At 46.4% G+C, this 20,773-nt stretch overlaps 2 long non-coding RNA genes across 2 annotated transcripts in view, besides 4 other annotated features; both read right to left on the reverse strand.

The window, feature by feature from the left end:
• LOC105379380 (uncharacterized) overlaps nucleotides 1-20,773 on the reverse strand; it is a 55,679-nt gene that overhangs the window by 26,068 nt on the left and 8,838 nt on the right. The gene's annotated exons all lie outside the window — the stretch shown is intronic.
• Nucleotides 2,701-2,750: an enhancer, noted in NCBI's record as "active region_27227". NCBI's record gives its function as "activates an Ori minimal core promoter by ATAC-STARR-seq in GM12878 lymphoblastoid cells {active_cell/tissue: GM12878}" and the evidence as "EXISTENCE:reporter gene assay evidence [ECO:0000049][PMID:35858748]".
• LOC124901931 (uncharacterized) lies at nucleotides 3,681-9,804 on the reverse strand. Its single transcript, XR_007060886.1, has 2 exons — nucleotides 9,738-9,804; nucleotides 3,681-4,377 (listed from the first exon to the last, which is right to left on the reverse strand). It is a non-coding gene; the product is annotated as an uncharacterized LOC124901931 (long non-coding RNA).
• Nucleotides 8,177-8,701: an enhancer, noted in NCBI's record as "H3K27ac-H3K4me1 hESC enhancer chr8:37494669-37495193 (GRCh37/hg19 assembly coordinates)". NCBI's record gives its function as "activates a minimal SCP1, AML or CMV promoter by ChIP-STARR-seq in primed H9 embryonic stem cells {active_cell/tissue: H9 hESC(primed)}" and the evidence as "EXISTENCE:reporter gene assay evidence [ECO:0000049][PMID:30033119]".
• Nucleotides 8,817-9,712: an enhancer, noted in NCBI's record as "VISTA enhancer hs834". NCBI's record gives its function as "enhancer in: limb[6/7] | other[6/7]" and the evidence as "EXISTENCE:transgenic organism evidence [ECO:0001131][PMID:17130149]".
• Nucleotides 9,953-10,160: a silencer, noted in NCBI's record as "fragment chr8:37496445-37496652 (GRCh37/hg19 assembly coordinates)". NCBI's record gives its function as "represses an EF-1alpha promoter that drives an FKBP-Casp9 reporter gene in an ReSE screen in K562 erythroleukemia cells {active_cell/tissue: K562}" and the evidence as "EXISTENCE:reporter gene assay evidence [ECO:0000049][PMID:32094911]".

Genomic DNA, 20,773 nt, shown 5'->3' on the forward strand with positions numbered 1-20,773 from the left:
TTTACAGAGATGACCATGGGTTTGTAACACACTGCACTCATAGAAAGTATCCTCCTCAAATGGATTAATGGCATTCACAGCAACCTGGATAGGATTGGAGACTATTAATCTAAGTGAAGTAACTCAGGAATGGAAAACCAAACATGGTGTGTTCTCACTCATAAGTGGGAGCTAAGCTATGAGGATGCAAAGGCCTAAGAATGAAACAATAGTCTTTGGGGACTCAGGGGGGAAAGCATGGGAAAGAGGTGAGGGGTAAAAGACTACAAATTGAGTGCTATGTACTGCTTGGGTGTTGGGTGCACCAAAATCTCACAAATCACCACTAAAGAACTTACTCATGTGACCAAATACCACCTGTTCCTCAATAACCTATGGAAATAAAAAAAAATTGTTTTAAGAAGTAAACAAAGAAGCTATTTGATTACAGTTTAAAAAAAGAAAGAAAAAAAGAAAGAATCCTCCTCAGTCAGCCCTAACTCTGCAAGGCTTAACCACTCCAAGGTGCTTACCCACTTGGGTTGTGACCCAGGTCTACATTAAAACAAAGGTACAAAGTTAGTGGTGAACAAGTGGAATCTGCATAAAGCATGCATCCCTAGCATCCTTTGTAATTTCTCTCCGTAGATGCAAGTGCTGCCCTGATAGCTGCAATTAGGTTGGTGCAAATGTAATTTGCATAAAGTAATGGCAAAAACCTCAATGACATTTGTGCCAACCTAATAAAAAAGGTCCCACCTGTTCTCTTCAGCTGACTCCTAGGAAGCCACAGAACACATCTGTGGGAAGGTGGGTGCCAGAGGAAGGGCAGTGAACACACACAGCAGCAGATCCTGGAAAGGGATGGGAACATAGTGAAACCCCATCTCTACTTAAACAAATACAAAAACTAGCCAGGTGTGGTGATGGGCTCCTGTAATTCCAGCTACTCAGGAGGCTGAGGTGGGAGAAATCACTCGAACCCAGAAGGAGGAGGTTGCAGTGAGCCGAAAGCGCACCACTGTACTCCAGCCTGGGCCACAGAATGAGACTCTGACTCAAGAGAAAAAAAAAATTGCTTTTCAACCATGAGCTTTTTTGTTCATAGCCTAGCCCCAGAAAATGACAGGGATAAAGGAGATCTCTTCTATCTACACAAATGAGGAAGGAGAACTCAGAAAGACCACTCTCCCTTATGTTAAAAATGTAGCTGCTGCAAAGAACTTCCTTTTTCAGGATTCTCTTCCTCTGCACACATATTCTAGTTTCCACCATTACAAACTCTCCTCACTGGGCAAATTGAAAATAAGTAATGGTTTCAATACTGCACTACTGCCACTACCTTAAAAAGTATGGCCACAGAGCCACTTTGGTGGGCACGGCCGGCCGGCTGGAGGCAGCTTGGAGCTAAAAGCCAAACCCCAGGTAGCCACTCACTGCCTTTTCCTCCCCAAGTTTCCTGAAGTTCTGCTGACTGCACCCTAGAGGCCCCAGCTCTTCCTGCACATGCCATGAGCTCACACACAGCCCTGGGCATGCCATGGGTTTGGCATAAAGGGCTCAGCTAAACCAGTGGAGTTGTTCTTATGGCCAGGAGGACTGGGCCCGGCTGGCTTTCAGAGAAGCCAATCCACAGAGCTTGAGTTCCAACCATTCCAAAGCCTTTCCCTATAGCAATGGGACTGTGAACAGGCGATTCCCCTGCCTGCTGCTCCCTCTGCAATCAAAAGGAAGAAAAATATCTGGGCCTGGAAAAGTGATTGCCATAGGCTACAGCCCAGCACAAAACAGCAGACACCCAGACATCCATCAAGTGCAAGTATTGACATTTATTGACTGCAGACAGAGGCTACACTACGAGCTCGGAGGGTTACTGAGGATCAGCCTCAAAGGAAGCCCCAGAAATACCACATTACCTTTGCAGAACATTCTGCAAATCCTAGTCCCTCTGCAAGAGGGTTGGCCTGAACAGCACAACTATACCAGACACAACAGAATCACATCAGCCAAGACATAAATACATACCATTATCAAAGAAGGGTCCCTTCGCACAGTGGTTCTCAACCAGGGAAGTAACTCCCACTCACAGGGCATCTGGAAATTCAGGGAGTGAGGTTTGTGTTGTCAGAGGACCTGAGAGATGCTACTCGGGGGCAGGAACCCAGGATGCTAAGCTTCCAGCGATATAGGAGATCACCTGCATAAAGAACTGTCCTGCCATAAATGCCACTAGTGTCCTTGGTGAAGAAAACAGTATACCTACCATCCCTCAACCTTAATTCTCAGCCTGATTTTGTCTTGTCACCCTTGAATCAATTTCACATTCTCAAGCAACGCCCTGCAGTCTGGGGGACTCCTTAGCATACATGAGAGGGCACTGTGCTAGTCGGTATAGATGCCGTGGGACACAGTGGTTATAAGCATGGATTCTGGATAGCTTTCCAAGGTTAAAACCCTGTATGTGTGGATGATAATTTTCTCTTCCCTCATAGATTCATAATGAGGATTCAACGAGATAATGGGCCTGCAGGGCCGTGCTCAGTAAGTATAGTGATTTTTTTCTATTTGAGAAATTTTTGTCCAGGAATCTGGATTTAGATTTTTCAGTAGCAAACACAATGTGGTAAACTGAAATGAAGACTGGGATTTAGAAAATTGAACTTCAAACCCCAGATCTACTTGTTTTACCCATGAAATCACAGGTCAATCAGCTGACGTCTCTGAGCCCCATCTTCTCACATTTGAAATGTTCAGAATAACAATAAAGCCTTCACAGGGAGATTATGGGAATTAACCGAAAGGAGGAAGTGAAAGTGACCTGACTGCTACAGTGAGTGTCAAGCACCCATCACATGTTCTATGTGGAACCACCTAAAACAAGAGCATCACATAGTGTGTGTTTCCTCCTTCACTTAGGATGGCATCACTTCCTCTGAGATTAAAACTTATCAACACGATGACATATAGAAAAATGTCCAACCTCACTAATAAAAAAAGATGTATATTAAAATATCAGGAGATCATTTTCACACAACAGTGGCGAAGATTCAAAAGGCAGATGATAATCAGTATTGGTGAGGGAAACAAGCTTCTTTATATACACTGTGGGTGGGAATATTAATTGATACAATATTTCAAAAGACAATATCGCAAGATACACCAAAAATATGTGCGTGTGTGTTTGCATACATATATATGAAGGAAATAATTAGTGCTCACAAAAAACTGTATAAAATGCTTATTGCAGCATTCTTTACAATGGATGAAAATTAGAAACAGCTTAAGTCAGCTGGCATGGTGGCTCATGTCTGTAATCCAGCACTTTGGGAGGCCAAGGCAGGTGGATAACTTGAGGTCAGGAGTTCAAGACCAGCCTGGCCAGCATGGTGAAACCCTGTCTCTACTAAACATTTTTAAAAAATTAACCAGGCGTGGTGGCCAACACCTGTAATCCCAGTTACTCAAGAGGCTGAGACAGGAGAATAGCTTGAACCCGGGAGGCAGATGTTGCAGTGAGCCGAGACTGTGCCATTGCACTCCAGCCTGGGCAACAAAGCGAGACTCCCTCTCAAAAAAAATGATAATAGACTAAATGTTCTTTAATTAAGGATTGGGTCATTAAATAATGCCACATCCATACAACAGAATATATGCAAGTCATTACAAAACATAAGATAGAGCTACACATAGTCTCATGGAAAGATGTTTGAATTAAATTATCTTTAATGTAATGGTACATAACAAATTACTGGAGAGTATATGGGATGATCCCACTGTTGCAAGAACAAATACAAATATTTTATAGAAATATTACAAGGCCCTTAAGCACCAGTGGTAATCTCTGGAGAAGAGACCAGGGGTTGGGGGAAGAAAAGATTTTCAATTTATATTTAGGGGTACATTACAGTTACAGGTACATTATGGCTGAATGCCAAATGGCCAAGTGTTAAAGTTCAGCTGAAGAGGAGGCCAAAGCCTGTGCATAATTTTAAATACAAATTTTATTATTACAATTTTGAATTAGAGCTATAGTAAAGTTTTAAGGGCTGACATAGGGTGCAGAAACAGTTTTCTTGGGCCGCCAGCTTGAAGGGATAATCCAAGGCCCTTCCTGTGCCCATTTGAGTGACTGAGGGTTGATCACTTCCACCCATGTGGGTGAGGAGCAAGATGTTTGGAGGGAAGTCCCATTTTTCTCTAACAGCGTCTCTTTTCTTCATTTTTATATTCTCTTTTATGTCTGGATCAAGGATCATGTATCATGGATGCTGTATGCGATTTTGGAATGTTTCCTCTTTTTGAAATTTTAAGGCGGCAAAGTTGACATTCTGTCTTTTATTCATCCTCACAAGATGTGAAAGATTTTCAAATGAGACTTTTTCTTGAAAGATTTCTGGCCTCGAGGGAATTAAATATTTAAAAATGAAAAACAGCTCTGAAAGGTTGTTTTATTTAATGTCATGCATGTTGCTACAACAAATAATTCTGTAAAAATGAGATTTAATGACATCAGCTAATCAACTTTAATAAAAAGTTATTAAAAGTTATTTTTTAGGATTTTATAATAGTTTTGGCTCCCAAATAGGATACAAGGATATGTTTTCCCTAAAGTTGTCTAGCTAGCATTACTCCCCTATGACTCTAATTAAGTGCTGACTCTTCCCGTATTTATGTAACTATTTGAAAGTTCATCATAATTCCTGTACGTAAAAGTAACAACACTCACTTTCACAGTTATTGCAGCTCTTTAGTCTTGCAATGATTATAAATGCACATTTTAACTTCAACCGACTGATGGAATTTGATGGAATTTACAGCACAAAAGAGATTCCCACTCCAAGTTACACCTAGAGGATGTGCCTCTATTTCAGAATGAATGTTTTGCTATTAATAAATCTCAGTGCCATACCTTGTTCATATCACTGCTATGGTTATGATCATTAGATTCAATGCAATCACATACAAGTTCAGGGATGCAAGAAATGACATTGAAGTTGCCATCAACTATACAGCCTTCTGCAGGCCAACTCCAGAGCTGAAGCCAAATAGCAGATTTGAGACAAGTAGCAAGGCCAAGGCAGACTTTTCATGCATCCCTAACTTATTCTTGCCTATATTTTTTTTTACAAGAAGCATGTATTTTCATTATATCAAAAGGATACCTGCACTTGTGTGTTTATCACAGCACTATTCATAATAGCAAAGAAACGGAGTCAACCTAAGTGTCCATCAATGGAAAATTGGATAAAGAAAATGTGGTCTATGCACACCATGGAATACTATTCAGCCATAAAAAATACTATTCAGCCATACTATTTGCAGCAACTTGGATGGAACTGAAGACCATTATCTTAAGTGAAACAACTTAAACAAAGGCAAATACTGCCTGTTCTCACTTAATAAGTGAGCTAAATAATGTGTACACATGGAAGCAGAGTGTGGAATGATGGACAATGGGGACTTCAAGGGGTGGGAGAGGGTGGATGATGGGAGGTTGCTTGGTGGGTACACTGTGCATTGCTCCAGTGACGGATGCACTGAAGGCCCTGACTTCACCACAGTGCAATACATCAAGGTAGCACAATTGCACCTGCACCCCATGAATATATACGAATACAAATAAATAAAAGATGTATTTAATGATTTTAAACATATTTTTATTAAAATCACATACACACTAGTACCCTACCCCTGAAAAAAAAAATATGGTGGAAACATTAAATTGGACCTCTATATTATTCCCAACCTTTTTGAAAAATTGTTGTTATTTGATCACTATTTGAGTGTGAATCACACATTCTCAGAGCTTGTAGTCGCTACAGTAATCAACATGACCCTCCGCACTTCCCACTCAGATCATCACAGACTTAGCTGTCTCTCTGACGTCAGTCTCCCCTCACTGCAAACCACGCTTCAACACACTGCCAAAGGCAGCTGGCTCCAACACAGACCTTGCTATGTCCAGCCCCCAACACAGAAATGACTATGTCCAGCCCCTGGACAAAACTTTCAATGCTTTATTTTCACTGACAGGATAAAGCCTAACTCCTTGGGGTAACATTTAATGTCTTCCAAAATATGGCTTTGCCCTGCCTTTTCCATCTTATCCCCAGCCACCCTCCCTTGCAAACCAAGCTACTGGCATGCTGAACTCTGCTCATCCTGTTCCCTTCCCTAGAACTACTGGTCCCGGTAAACTTGTACTCATCCTTCAAGATCCAACATCAACATCACTGCCTCCGTGATGTCCTCTTCTACCATGCCACAGTGGAATTATCTCTCCTTGCCAGTATAGACAGAGTGGACCCCTCACTAATCTGCAAATTCCCAAGAACAGGGACCTCATTGTTGTCACTTTAATCTCCAGCCCCCTGCACAGTTCTAGCAAATACCTCCTTTGAGCCAATAGAAGGACCCCAACCAATTTTGAAAGAAAGAGTGAATGAGTACGTATCATTAGTCCCAAATTTTTGTGTAAATTTTTTTAAATTTTTTGATACATGTTCTCACTCTGTCACCCAAGCTAGAGTGCAGTGGCACAATCGTAGCTCACTGCAGCCTCCAACTCCTAGGCTCAAACAATCCTCCTGCCTCAACCTCCTGAGTAGCTGGGACCACAGGTGTGCTCCACCAAACCTGGCTAATTATTTTTATTTTTGTTAGAGATGGGGTCTTGATATGTTGCCCAGGCTGGTCTCAAACTCCTGAGCTCAAGCGATCCTCCCGCCTTAGCTTCCCAAAAGTGCTAGGATTACAGGTGTGAGCCACCTTGATATTACTAGGAATGTTCTGACTAGACTGCAAAGCTAGAGTTAAAATCACTGCACCACTGGTCTTCAAGCCTCACTCTCCAGAGACCTCGGGTTCACAGTAGAGACGGACGACCACTCTGTTGTCAGGAGGAGTGGTCCCTGCACTCATCCATGTCACGTAGAGCAGATCTTTCCTGTTCCTTCATCCGGGTTCTGTGGGACAGTGTGTTCGTAAGACAGGGGGATGTTTATGCTGCCAGAAAGAGTCTGAAAACCACTGTATCACAGCAAGAGGCCCACTTATGGTGGGCAGGCTTCCTCTCAGAGGGCCACCCATCAAGTGAGAATGTCACTGAAATAAGTGTCGGCTCCAGAGTGAAATCAGAGCTCCCTCTGAAACCAACTGCATATCCCTGGGCAAGCCATGCCTCAGTTTCCCCACCTGCAAAGCAAGGCTACTGATGCCTGTCCTCTGTGTCTGACTTGGGGTGGGGTGGGAGTGAAGGGAGTTGAGGCATAACAAATATAAAATGTGTAAAGTGCATCAATCTTACATTTACAGAGTGATGTTTTTTCTTATGTGTACCCTGTGTCCCCGCCATGCAAACCAAGATATAGAGCCATTTACAGTACTGCAGAACTCCTTCGAGTCTCCTCTCACTTACACCCCCCACCACCCAGTGGCAAACACTCTTCTGACTTCTTCCCCCATAGATTTGTTTTGCCTATCTTTATTTAGACTTCAGATAAGTTGAGTCCCAGGGTATATATTCTTTCGTATCGGACTTCTTTCATTTAACATAATATCTGAAGTTTCATCCGTGCTGCCGTGTATTTATTTGGGTGCTGAAATATCCAAATAAAATACCAAACAGGCCGGGCGCAGTGGCTCACGTCTGTAATCCCAGCACTTTGGGAGGCCGAGGCTGGCGGATCACTTGAGGTCAGGAGCTCGAAACCAGCCTGGCCAAACCCTGTCTCTACTAAAAATACAAAAAATTAGCCCACGTGGTGGCACACACCTGTGATCCCAGCTACTCAGGAGGCTGAGGCAGGAGAATCCCTTGAACCTGGAAAGTAGAGGTTACAGTGAGCCAAGATTGCACCACTGCACTCCAGCCTGGATGACAGAGACTCCGTCTCAAAAAAATAAAATAAAATAGCAAATGAGGAAATTATTTAGAATGCATAAAATACAAAAATAGGCAAGACACAGTATTACTAGCTGAATCTCAGACTGTCTATAGACTGTAAGCTCCTTGAAAGTAAAAACAATGCCTATAATTCAGTTTTGTATTTCCAACCTTTAAAATTATCCCTAGCTCATAATAGGGGCTCAACAAATGTTGGTGGGATTGAACAGTATTATTACTGCATAGATAATAATCTGGCCTTTTTTATCCTGCCTTTTTTTTTTTTTTGAGACGGAGTCTGGCTCTTGTTGCCTAGGCTAGAGTACAATGGCACCATCTCAGCTCACCGCAACTTCCGCCTCCTGGGTTCAAGCTATTCTCCTGCCTCAGCCTCCTGAGTAGCTAGGATTACAGGCATGTACCACCAAGCCCAGTTAATTTTGTATTTTTAGTAGAGACAGGGTTTCTCCATGTTGGTCAGGCTGATCTCAAACTCCCGACCTCAGGTGATCTGTTCCCTTGGCCTCCCAAAGTGCTGGGATTACAGGCATGAGCTACCGCGCCCAGCCAATCCTGCCTTCTTTTTTTAACCCGAAGCCCAATGGGCCTCTCCCTACCTCTTCAACCCACACCCGCCCTGCTGAACTCTGTTCTTTGTCTTTCCTTTCTGGGCTGTACCCACATGGTCTGTCCTTGTTTGAGGCTGCGTTGTCTCCTTCTCTGGACACTGGAATGACTCACAGGCTGGAGGGGAGGGAACTGAGAGGGGGCAGGGCTGACTGGCTCAAAGACCCCGACAGAAAACTGTCAGGGAAGGGTCCTTCCCAGGGAGGGAAGGAGCTCCAAGCAGCACGCGTGGCCCCGGGGGTCAGAGAGGAAACAGAGGCGTGTCCAACAGGGCCCCTGGCCTGGGCTCCAGACCCGGGAGCCCCCTGGTCTTAGTCTGAGGCCCGTGACCTTCTCTGGGTGATGTGCACCTTAGCCAAGTTTACAGCTCACCCCAGCTGTCGGAGCACACTGTCACTCCAGCTGTTACTGAGCAATGGATTCCTGTTGCCAAGATATGGATTTGGTTTTAATAACAGTTAGTGCAAACACTGTAAATTTACTGCTGCAAGAGAGAGTTTTTGAAAACGTCCACTCTGGCTATAATTTTTCAGCCGCGCCAGCTGTTTGTGCTCAGCTCATACCTGACATGGTGCTTTGAAATAGCAATCACTGTATTTATAAGAAGGCAAGGACTCATAAATATGTCACAAGTGGAATATACAACGCCATATTTCACCATTTTCTCTTTTAAAATTGTGAGTTATGGCTGCAGAAATGCACGCCCATTAAAGGTGATATGATGTATTTTCTGCCTTGTTCAGGAGTCCATCCATCATCAAGACAATAAAGAAAACCGCACTTACTTTTTTCCTGTCGTCTGTAATTTATGATCTCCAAAAAGCTGTAACCTTTTGGCAGGCTTTGCAGAAACCACTGCACTGTTAGCAACTAAATAACCTTTTATAAGGTTTTAAATGTGTTGCTACAGTCTCAATGCACTTGCTGTATTGATCCAGAAGATCTTGGGGGGGAAAAGAAGGTAGGGGGAGGAATGGAAGAAGGTGATCTATAACAAGATCGATAACAGCATATAGATTGTTGAAAGATGCTTCTAATGATTTTTGCCAGCCATCATCTTTCAGCACGCCACTCCCTATCTCTTAGGCTTTGGTCTTGTCTCAGAATTGACTGACCTTGCCTCCCAGCTGCCTCCCTCTCTCCCTCCCTCCCATCCAGCAGCCAGACAGGGAGAAGAAAGAAGAACATATTGGCCACCACAGGCTATTTGCAGAAAAGCTCTGAGAATCACAGGGCTGAAAGGTACCTTCAAGTCTATCTCAGGATACAGATATGGAAACCGAGGCCCAGCGAGCGGCTGTGACTTGCCCAAGGTCGAATGAACCCGGATTTGGATGCTGGATTCAGTCTACTCTTTTCCAACCCTATCACCCCACCTCTCATGTTTGCCCCAGAGAAAGAGGGAGTGGAGGGAGCAGGTGAATGCATTTCTGATGAGCTTTGCAGACCTAATAAATCTGCCTGGCAACAAGGTGTGGTAGAAAGATAATGAGCCTGGAAATCACATAGACCCAGGCTGGATCTCACCCCCACCCTCACTCCCTTGGGCAGGTAACTGACTTCTCTTGGTCTCTGCTCCTCCACCTGTATGAGGGCAATCATAATTTACCTTGTAAGATGATGGAGAAGATTAGATCTTGTGTCTGGGAGACACTGAGATCAAAGACTGGTGTGCACATAGCAGGTGAACACGAGAAGTGACTGGCTATGGTGCAGCTCATCCAGCTCCTCCCATATCCACCATTTTCTGGGCTCCCTCCTCTTCCTTTGTCCTGCCTTATCCTCCAGGTCAATGGCCATAGAAACTTCCAGGGAAGAGCCAGCAATGGAGGAAAGTAGGATAATCTTTAACCACAAAATCTTTAGCACAGGGCCATTTCCCTGATTGTTGCAGAGGAAAGCACTTGGAGTGAATAGGTTGTCTAAGCCTAAGCTGGGCCAAGCTCACACAGCACGGGGACCAGGCCTGCACAGTTCCCTTTAGAGATGCCCACAGGAAGCTGCATGCATGAGCTTTTTTTTTTTTTTTTTTTTTGACTAAGTCTCCTCTGTCGCCCAGGCTGAAGTGTAATGGCATGATCTTGGCTCACTGCTGCAACCTCCTCCTCCTGGGTTCAAGCGATTCTCCTGCCTCAGCCTCCCAAGTAGCTAGGACTACAGGCGTGTGCCACCACGCCCGGCTAATTTTTTTGTATTTTTAGTAGAGACGGGTTTTCACCATGTTAACCAGGATGGTCTTGATCTCCTGACCTCATGATCCACCCGCCTCGGCCTCCCAAAGCGCTGGGATTACAGGCATGAGCCACTGTGCCCGGCCGCATGAGCTTTTAACACTACCTTCTTGGCAGTGATAATTTGCAGGTTAAAAAATATATATATGGGGGTGGTGGGGAAGGGGAGGGAGAGCATTAGGACCAATACCTAATGCATATGGGCTTAAAACCTAGATGACGGGTTGATAGGTGCAGCAAACCATCATGGGACATGTATACCTACGTAACAAACCGGCACGTTCTGCACATGTATCCCAGAAATTAAAGTGAAATTGAAAAAAAAAAAATGGGCCTGGCATGGTGGCTCAAGCCTGTAATTTCAGCACTTTGGGAGGCCGAGACAGGTAGATCACTTCAGGTCAGGAGTTCAAGACCAGCCTGGCCAACATGGTGAAACCTTGTCTCTACTAAAAATACAAAAAAAAACAAAAACAAAATAGCCAGGTGTGGTGGTACAGGCCCAGAGTCCCAGCTACTCAGGAGGCAGAGGCAGGAGAATCACTTGAACCCAGGAGACAGAGGCTGCGATGAGCCAAGATCACACCACTGCACTCCAGCCTAGGTGATAGAGCAAAACTCTGTCTCGAAAAAGAAAAAATGTCTGGGCCTGGGCACAGTGACTCATGCCTGGAATCCCAGCACTTGGGAGGCCAAGATAAGAAGATCTCTTGAGCCCAGTAGTTCAAGACCAGCCTGGGCAACATAGTGAGGCTCAGTTTCTACAAAAAAGTATATATTTAGGAGTTAGCCAGGCGTGGTGGTGCGCACCTGTAGTCCCAGCTAATCAGGAGACTAAGACGGGAGGATGGCTTGAGCCCAGGAGTTCAAGGCTGCTGTGAGCTATGATCACACCACTGCACTCTAGCCTGGGAAACAGAGAGACCCTGTCTCAAAAAAATTTGTTTTAAAATGTCCTGTAATTCAACCAGACTGCAGTACAGTGGATGTGTCTCGGCATATCCATGATCAGGGAACCATCCCACAAGACAGCCCTCCTTTCTCAAAATCCTGGTGCTTTTCGCCCCAGGAACCTGCTGCCCTGGAACATGGATCCACAAACTGCAGTCTGCAGGATAAATCCAACCAGAGCCTGTTTATATAAAGAAAGTTTCGTTAAAACACAGAAGTTCCATTCCTTGATGCATTGTGCATGGCTGCTTTCGAAATACAACAGCAGAGTAGAGTCGTTAAAACAGAAATCAGAAGGCACACCACACCTAAAATATATACTCACTTGCCTTTTGTGAGAAAATTTGTAAACCCCTGTTCTGGACTCTATCCAGCAATGCTGCATGACAGGGGAGGCTTTTTAGTAAAAAGCAATCAATAAGTAGTATGCATATGGCGATGTATTGTTTACCAAGTGTGCTCATGAATGGGATCCCAGCAATCCTGTGAGATGGAGATTCTCATTATTCCTGTATTACAGAAGAGCATACTGAGAATCAGAGAAGCAAAATAATTTACCCAAGGTCACACAGAGAGTCAGAGGTGGAGCTAGGGGTTGAGGCCAGGCCAGGTGATCTAAGAGCCTAAGCATCCCTACTATTCCACCCTGAAGTGGAGAAGCCCTGGGCTGACTCCAGTGCTACTACCCAACAGCTGGTGACCTTGGGAAGGTCACTTAACCTCTCTGGACCCTAGTGTCTTCAAATCCAAAATAAGGAGTCACAAAGCTGAGCGCAGTGGCTCACACCTGTAATCCCACACTTTGGGAGGCCGAGGCAGGAGGATCGTTTGAGGTCAGGAGTTTGAGACCAGCCTGGGCAAAAGAGCAAGATCCCATCTCTACAAAAAAATAAAATAAAAAATCAGCCAAGTGTCGTGGCACATGCCTGTAGTTTCAGCTCCTCACAAGGCTGAGGCAAGAGGATCCCCTGAGCCCAGGAGTTCGAGTCTTCAGTGAGCTATGATTGCACTACTGGACTCCAGCCTAGGCAACAGAGTCAAACCCTGTCTCTAAAAAAGAAACAACAACAACCACCAAAAAAAATGAAGAGTTGTTCATTGGCGAGCCACTAAAACACTCATTTTGATAGATGCTAAGGGACTCTCCAAGCAAAACCCACAATGCAAACAGCGTGTGAAACATCTCCTGAGGCAAAAACCCAGTTTCCCTTGCCTGATCCGACGCCTCCTCCACCCACAGACGGATCACAGAAGAAGCTCCCGGGCAGGCCTGTGGATGTGAAGGAAGGGGGTCAGGAGAGGCCTGCTTCGAGGACTGGCCCTCCTAAAGCCCCTCAAGTGCTCCTGGACCCCAAAAAAGCCCCATCAGAGGGTAGAAACATTATCAGCAGGCAGGAGAGGTTGCTGAACACACAAAGACACCTCCCACCCCACACCAACCTCACCGCCGCTCCCTGGTCATGCGGCCTCCGGAGAGAGCAGTCTGCGTTGCCAGAAAGCCCCCGCTGCCTCAGTGGTGCTAGGCTGCCTCACACCTGTTGCGGAGGTTGAGGCAGGGGCAGGTGAAAGCAGGAGGGAGAATGCTCATCCCTTTGTCATAGGAACTGCCATCTCTCTGTGTCGACGTCGCTGTCTTCTTTCTCTCTTTTCGTACGCTCTCCCAGAGCACCCCCCAAATCATTATTAACATGATCAATAAAAATGAGAAACAAGTTATTAAATATAAAATATGCAAAGTTCCTCCCAGAACTCACTGGGCAGTTCATAAATGTGGCAGCTTAATGTTGCTGCTGATGCAGGCAGCTGATGGAGCCTCACCGGCTCCTGGCTAATTGAAGCTGTTAACGAAGTGGAAGAGAGAGGTGATTACGGGTGGCTTCTTCCCACCTGTGGGAGGATCAGAAGAGCAGCCCTCGACTAAGACCCACGACAGAGTCCATGGTCCTCGTTGTGTACCTGCAGCCACCGACACCAGGGCCAAGGGCCTGGAAATTCCCAACCTACTCAGATCTCAGAGTCTCCACCTGGAGCCCACTTTACGATCCAACAGGGTCCTCACCTCTCATCTCGAGAGAAGCATTTTCTTCTTTTCTTTTTTTTTTTTTTAAGAGATGGGGTCTTGCTCTGTCGCCCTGGAGTGCAGTGGCATGATGAGAGCTCACTGCAGCCTCGAACTCCTGGGCCCAAGGGAATCTCCCCGCCTCAGCCTCCCCCATAGCTGGGACTATAGGCGTGCACCACCACACCTGGCTAATTTTTGTATTTTCCGTACAGACAGATTTCACCATGTTACCCAGGCTGATCTCAAACACCTGAGCTCAAGCCATCTGCCCGCCTTAGCCTTCCAAGTCAGGGTTTCACCATGTTATCCAGGCTGGACTCAGGCTCCTGAGCTCAAGTCATCTGCCCACCTTCCAAATAGCTGGGACTACAGGTGCACACCACCATGTCAGGCTAATATTTTAATTTTTTTTTTATGGAGATAGGGGTCTCATTATGTTGCCCAGGCTGGTCTCAAATTCCTGGCCCCAAGCGGTCCTTCTGCCTTGGCCTCCCAAAGTGCTGACGTTACAGGCCTGAGCCACTGCATTCGGCCTAAGAAATGCATTTTCACCCAGAGATTGGGGCAGGGTCCAGAAACAGTTGGTTTTAGGGTAACTGAAGGGATTCTGACTCACATAAGCTTTTGTCCTCAAAACCCATGCCAGGTAGAAACAACCCATCTGTCTGCCAACAGATGAATGGATAACACATTGTGGCATACACTTATGCTGGTGTTCAGGCATAGAAGGAATAAAGCGTCGATGCCACACACAGAGGGGCCTTAAAAACATGATGCCAAGTGGAAGAAGCCAGGGACAGGAGGCATATGATTCCGTTTTCCTGAAATATCCAGAATAGGTCAATCCATAGAGCCAGAAAGTGGACTCACAGGGAAGAACTGCTTAACGCCTGCAGGGTTTTGTTTTGGGGTGAGGAAAGGGTTTTGCAGCTAGACAGAAGTGGAGTTGCACCACATTGTGAGTGACTGAATGTGGATGAATTGTTCACTTTAAAAGGCTTAATTTTATATGAATTTCACCTCCATTTTTAAAACGGGGGGAAAAACACAAAACCCAGGCTGCTTGACCTCCCCACGTCCTATGAAGCTGTGCTCCTTTTTGTGGGCTTCTGATTTTTCCCTCAGGAAACTCGATCAAGATCTAGCTCTGTCACCCAGTTCCTTGCATGGAAGGGGGTGACCCGGTGCCTCTGGCTTCCCCCTCTTCAACCCATCCAAGCATCAGAAAGACCTGCCAGCCATTTCCCCCAGTCAGGGGGCGTAGAGGAGGAGCAAGGGAGCCTTTGGGAGGCAGAGCTCAGTACAGAAGAATGAACAGGAGCTTCAAGACCAAAGAAGCCAGTGCCGCCACTCCACTGTGGTGAAGGGTGAGCAGAAGGCAGGTGGAAGGGAGCATTATTGCAGTTCTGCTTTGCCTGGGTTTAGCTGTGCGATCTTGAATAAGACTCTTGAATTCTCTGATCCTCAGTTTCCTCATCTATAAAACAGGGATGTAGATATCAGCCTCGCCCTCTTCATGGATTTATTTTAAGCATCAAATGAAATCCTTTGTATATCTGTTATTGATAACTCTTCTAAAAGCAGTGTATTAACCAACAAGCGTTTATTAAGGAACGGCTAAATTCCTAGCAGAGGTTCAGGAATGCACAGGAAGCAGGAGTTGGGAGCCAGGTGGAGGGGATGGAGAGTAGCTATGAGGGACAATCCCTGCCTTCTTTATAGGAAGGCAAAACTAATAGAAACAAAACTACTAGGAAGCAAAGAACAGTGATCTACGATCAGTCCTGTGTATTGACACGGGAAAGATCAAGGGTTCTGAACACTGAGAATCCAGGAACCGATGTTCTAGCCACACTACTGCCAATGCTGTAAGCTACTTGGGAGTCATTTGAATATTTTGGTGTTAGATTCCTTGTTTTCCAGGTGAAAGAGTTCAATTAAAAGTCCTCGGCCGGGCACGGTGGCTCATGCCTGTAATCCCAGCACTTTGGGAGGCTGAAGCGGGTGGATCATGAGGTCAGGAGATCGAGACCACCCTGGCCAACGTGGTGAAACCTCATCTCTACTAAAATACAAAAAATTATCCCGGCGTGGTGGCAGGTGCCTGTAGTCCCAGATACTCAGGAGGCTGAGGCAGGGGAATCACTTGAACCTGGGAGGTGGAGGTTTCAGTGAGCTGAGATTGTGCCACTGCACTCCAGCCTGGCGACAGAGCAAGATTCCATCTCAAAAAAAAAAAAATCCTCAGTGCGGTGGCTCACGCAACGCCTGTAATCCCAGCACTTTGGGAGGCTGAGGTGGCTGGCTGGACCTCTTGAGGTCAGGAGTTCAAGACCAGCCTGGCCAACATGGTGAAACCCCATCTCCATTAAAAATACAAAATAATCGGGCGTGGTGGCATGCACCTGTGATCCCAGCTACTTGGGAGGCTGAGGCAGGAGAACTGCTTGAACCCAGGAGGTGGAGGTTGCAGTGAGCTGAGATTGCACCACTGCACTCCAGCCTGGGTGACAGAGCAAGACTCTGTCTCAAAAAAAAAAAAAAAAGTCCTCAAAGACTCTTTCTAGCTTTAGGAATCGGATACTTAGCCAAATTAAAAGGCAAAAGATAAACCAGGAAATACACTTTTAATAAATAAGCCAAAAGATAACTGTTTTTGATATGTAAAGAAGTCAATAGGGGTGGGGCACAGTGGCTCATGCCTATAATTCCAGCACTTTGGGAGGCTGAGACGGGCGGATCTCTTGAGATCAGGAGTTTCAGACCAGCCTGGCCAACATGGTGAAACCCCGTCTCTACTAAAAAAAAATACAAAAATTAGCCGGGCGTAGTGGCACATGCCTGTAATCCAGCTACTTGGGAGGCTGAGGCAGGAGAATCGCTTGAACCTGGGAGGTAGAGGTTGCAGTGAGTCAAGATCGTGACACTGCACTCCAGCCTCGGTGACAGAGTGAGACTCCATCTCAAATAAGTAAATAAATAAATAAATAAATAATAAGATAAAATTAAATAAATGAATAAATATTTGTTGAATAAAGGGTAAGAATTGAGAGATCGTAGGTCTGGAAAAAATTGGACAAGAGGCGATAGAAAGTGAGGTTGGCCTTGAAGGACGGGCAGCAATGGATATTTATAAATTTATTCATCTACTCAGTGAACCTGCTAGGTCTGCGCACTGCACTGGACACAGAGCTAACTATGACACTGTGCCTCGCTGGGAGGAATCGCAGGTTAGAGATAGAGGTAGACACATGCAAAAAGATAGGAATAAAATAATGAAGCTAGAACAGGGAACACCAAAGAAGAAACTGTCCATCCTGCTGGCACAGAGGGCAGCAAGAGCAGTTGTGGAGAGGGACAGGCCATGAGGACAGTGCTGGAGGGAGAGGGAGGACGGGAGAAGGTGTCCTGCAGCATGCATCACAACTCCATCACCCAGTGACCATCCCCAACTTCCACACAAAGTTCACAGGCAGGGAAACCAAGGACCTGGAAACAGGAACACCTCCTCGGGAGGGCAAATCCACACGCCTGCAGCCTGGGTTGGTGTCCCAGCGGGCTATCCCTGTGTAGCAGTCCATTCTTGCATTGCTATAAAGAAATACCTGAGACTGGGTAATTTATAAAGAGATGTAATGAGCTCACGGTTCTGCAGGCTGTACAGGAAGCATGGTGCTGGCATCTGCTCAGCTTCTGGGGGACCTGGGGAAGCTTCCAATCATGGGGGAAGGTAAAAGGGAAGCAGTCATGTCACACAGCCAGAGCAGGGGCAAGAGAGAGAGGAGGGGACGCCACACCCTTTTAAACAACCAGATCTCATGAGAACTCACTATCACAAAAACAGCACCAAGGGGACAGTGCTAAATCATTCATGAAGGATCCACCCCTATGATCCAATCACCTCCCATCAGGCCCCACCTCCAACATTGAAGATTACAATTCAACATGAGATTTGGTGGGGACACGGATCCAAACCTATCACCCTATGGCCAATGCCTTGGGCCTCAATATCCAAGTCTGCAGGAATCATGTGTCCAACTCAAACTGGGAAATGATTTTCACCTTGAGAAGAGGTGGTCCTTAAACTGGGGACCCAATAATCATGCTGTCTGCATCACAGTGCCGTCACCCCGTGGCAATGAAGGGAGAGTGGAAGGCAGGTGGAAAGGGGAGTTTCTCCCCATGTTTGGCTCCCTGACTTTAAAATGAGGTGACCTTACCTGGAGAGTTGGTGGGACTTCTCCCAAGGAGTTCCCTGAAAGCATGTCTTCTGGATACAAGAAAAGTGTTGTTGTTGTTGTTGTTTTTAATTTTTTAATTTTCACACACTTAGGGGGCAAAAGTGCAGATTTCTTAGGTGCATCTATTGCATAGTGATGAAGTCTGGGCTTCTAGTGTATTCATCATCCAAATAGTGAACACTGTACACCATAGGTAATATGTCAGCCCTCACCTCCCTCCCAGCCTCCCACCCTCCCACCCTTTGGAGTCTCCAACGTCTATTACTCCCCTCTCTGTATGTCTGTGTGTATGCATTGTTTAGCTCTTACTTGTGAATGACCACATGCAGTATTTGACTTTGTGATTCTGAGTTATTCCACTTAGGATAAGTTCCATCCATGTTGCTGCAAAGGACATGATTTCTTTTTTTTTTTTTTTTTTTTTTTTTTTTTTTGAGACAGAGTTTCGCTGTTGTCGCCCAGGCTGGAGTGCAAGGGCACAATCTCAGCTCACTGCAACCTCCGCCTCCCAGGTTCAAGCGATTCTCCTGCCTCAGCCTCCCACGTAGCTGGGATTACAGGCACGTACCACCACACCCTGCTAATTTTTGTATTTTTAGAAGAGACGAGGTTTCACCATGTTGGCCAGGCTGGTCTCGAACTCCTGACCTCAGGTGATCCACCTGCCTCGGCCTCCCAAAGTGCTCGGATTACAGGTGTGAGCCACTGTGCCTGGCCAACTGTATTCTTTTTTATGGCTGTACAGTATTCCATTTTCTGTATCCAGTCCTTCATTGATGAACACTTAGCTTGATTCCTTAACTTTGTTATTGCGAATATGCTGCAGTAAACATGAGTGCAGGTATTTTTTTACACAATGATTTCCCTTGGGGTAGATACCCAGTAGTGGGATTGCTGGATGGAACGGTAGTTTTATTTTTAGTTCTTGAGAAATCTCCATTCTGTCAGGAAGGGGGTTTTTATCTATGCAGTAAATACCAGTGTCTGCCTCAGAGCTGCTGCTGGCCCTGATCTGGAATGCATTATTTGAACACAAGCAAATGTAGATTGTCGTCTTCAAGTGGAGCTTCTCAGGGAGGTAACAAAATGTTGCCATTGGCCTGGAAGTCAAATGAGGCTCTGCATGACATGGTGTGACCTGTGATGCTGACACGCCGGCCCTCCCCTTCCATCCCAAGGAGAGAAAGCCCAGGATTGGGAACAGAGCCCATGACTTCAACCACTTCCCAGAGCACCCCTGGACGGCAAGGAATCCTCGTGTGGCAGGTCCATGGAATTGCGTTGTCCCCTCTCCAGGACACATGCACGGCACGTTCAGTCATTCTTCGTGCAGGGCTGATTGTCTACCACGTGTCTTACACTGGGAGAGGTATTGGGGGCAGCGGTGGCCTCCGAATGGAGAGCAGACCCAGGTCCAGCCTGCACAATCTTTCTGGGACTGTGGTCAGCCCTCATTACCACCCTGCAGCTCTCCTCCCCTCCACAGACACGTGAAAAGACATCGTTGTTGGCTGCTTCTGGGGGGAGTGTTTTAGGGAGGAAGTGGGACTTGAACAGTCCCACTTTGAGGGAGCAGAAGGCTTCGTTACAGGGAAAAAGGCAATCCAGGTGGGGGCATTCAGACCAACCAAGGCACAGAGGAGACAGTGATTCAGAACCCTAGGCCCACGGAGCTGCTGTGGGAGGTGGAGTGGTGAAGGCCCCTCCAACAGCTCCTGCTTATGGGTTGAGAAGACGGCAGGTACCACTCTTCGGACTTCCCCCTGAGAGGAATGATGTGAGGCCTCTTGTTAAAACCTGCTCTGAGCTCTTGCTGCTGGCAGCTCCTAGAGGACAGGGGAAACCTGAAATAGGAATGGCATCCACCCTCCGCAGTGCCCCTCGGGTGAGGTCTGGTGCTGTGGGAAAGCACCCATTCTGACCTGGTGGCGGCTTCCCCTGAGGAGCTCATCCACCTGGAGCATGTTGCCCTGTTCTGTGTTCCAGGCAGCACAGTCAGGGAAAAGGACTTAGCTCCGGGCATGCAGGGTGCCCTCCGGGCTCTGCGTGGATGCTGAAGCAGGGACCAGAGGCTGGCACCAGAGCACGTCTCAGGAGGTTCCCTTGGTCTAGTGTCCTCGCCTACTTAGCAGACAGCACTAAGTGGGGCCCTAAGGTCCACAAAAGGGACAGGACTGCCCGGAATTGCCCACAGGGAGTGAGTGGGCAAGGTAGCAGGCCCAGGCCTGCACCATCCAAGCAGGAGGAGGAACGTGGTGGGTGGGCTGCTTTGACACGGTGGTCACAGGCCTGGTCGTGGGAAGGCCAAATGTCACACTGGTTGAGTTAGACCAAAGTGCCCATTGCTTTTCTTTATTTTCATTTTCTATCTTGATAAAAGCTTGCATGTGTGTGAGTGTGCGTGTGTGCACCCATGTGTGTTTGTGCATGTGTGTGTTTGTGCATGTGTGTGTATGTGTGTATGCATATGTATGTTTGTGTGTGCATGTGTGTGTATGTTGTGTTTTACATTGCCACAAGATAAATAGAACCATGACTTACACTTCATAATTCCCACAGGGATTTCACATGCATTTGACAGTTGGGGCATGTGTCCTGATGCCATAATTTTTTCCCCATCTAGAAAGATAAAGGGGGTGGTGTTCATGTTCCCCAAAACCACAGCCCTCTAATGTTATGTCTATGCCATGCCTCCTCTCCCACTGCCTCCCAGCCCCACCAAAGGGCAGTAAATCACAGAGACTAAGCACTATTCTCAAGGCAGCTCCTGTCCATTCCTTTGGGGCAGGTGTCATTA

The sequence above is a fragment of the Homo sapiens genome, chromosome 8, assembly GCF_000001405.40.
Source record: "Homo sapiens chromosome 8, GRCh38.p14 Primary Assembly".
In the NCBI taxonomy this organism is placed as follows: Eukaryota; Metazoa; Chordata; class Mammalia; order Primates; family Hominidae; genus Homo; species Homo sapiens.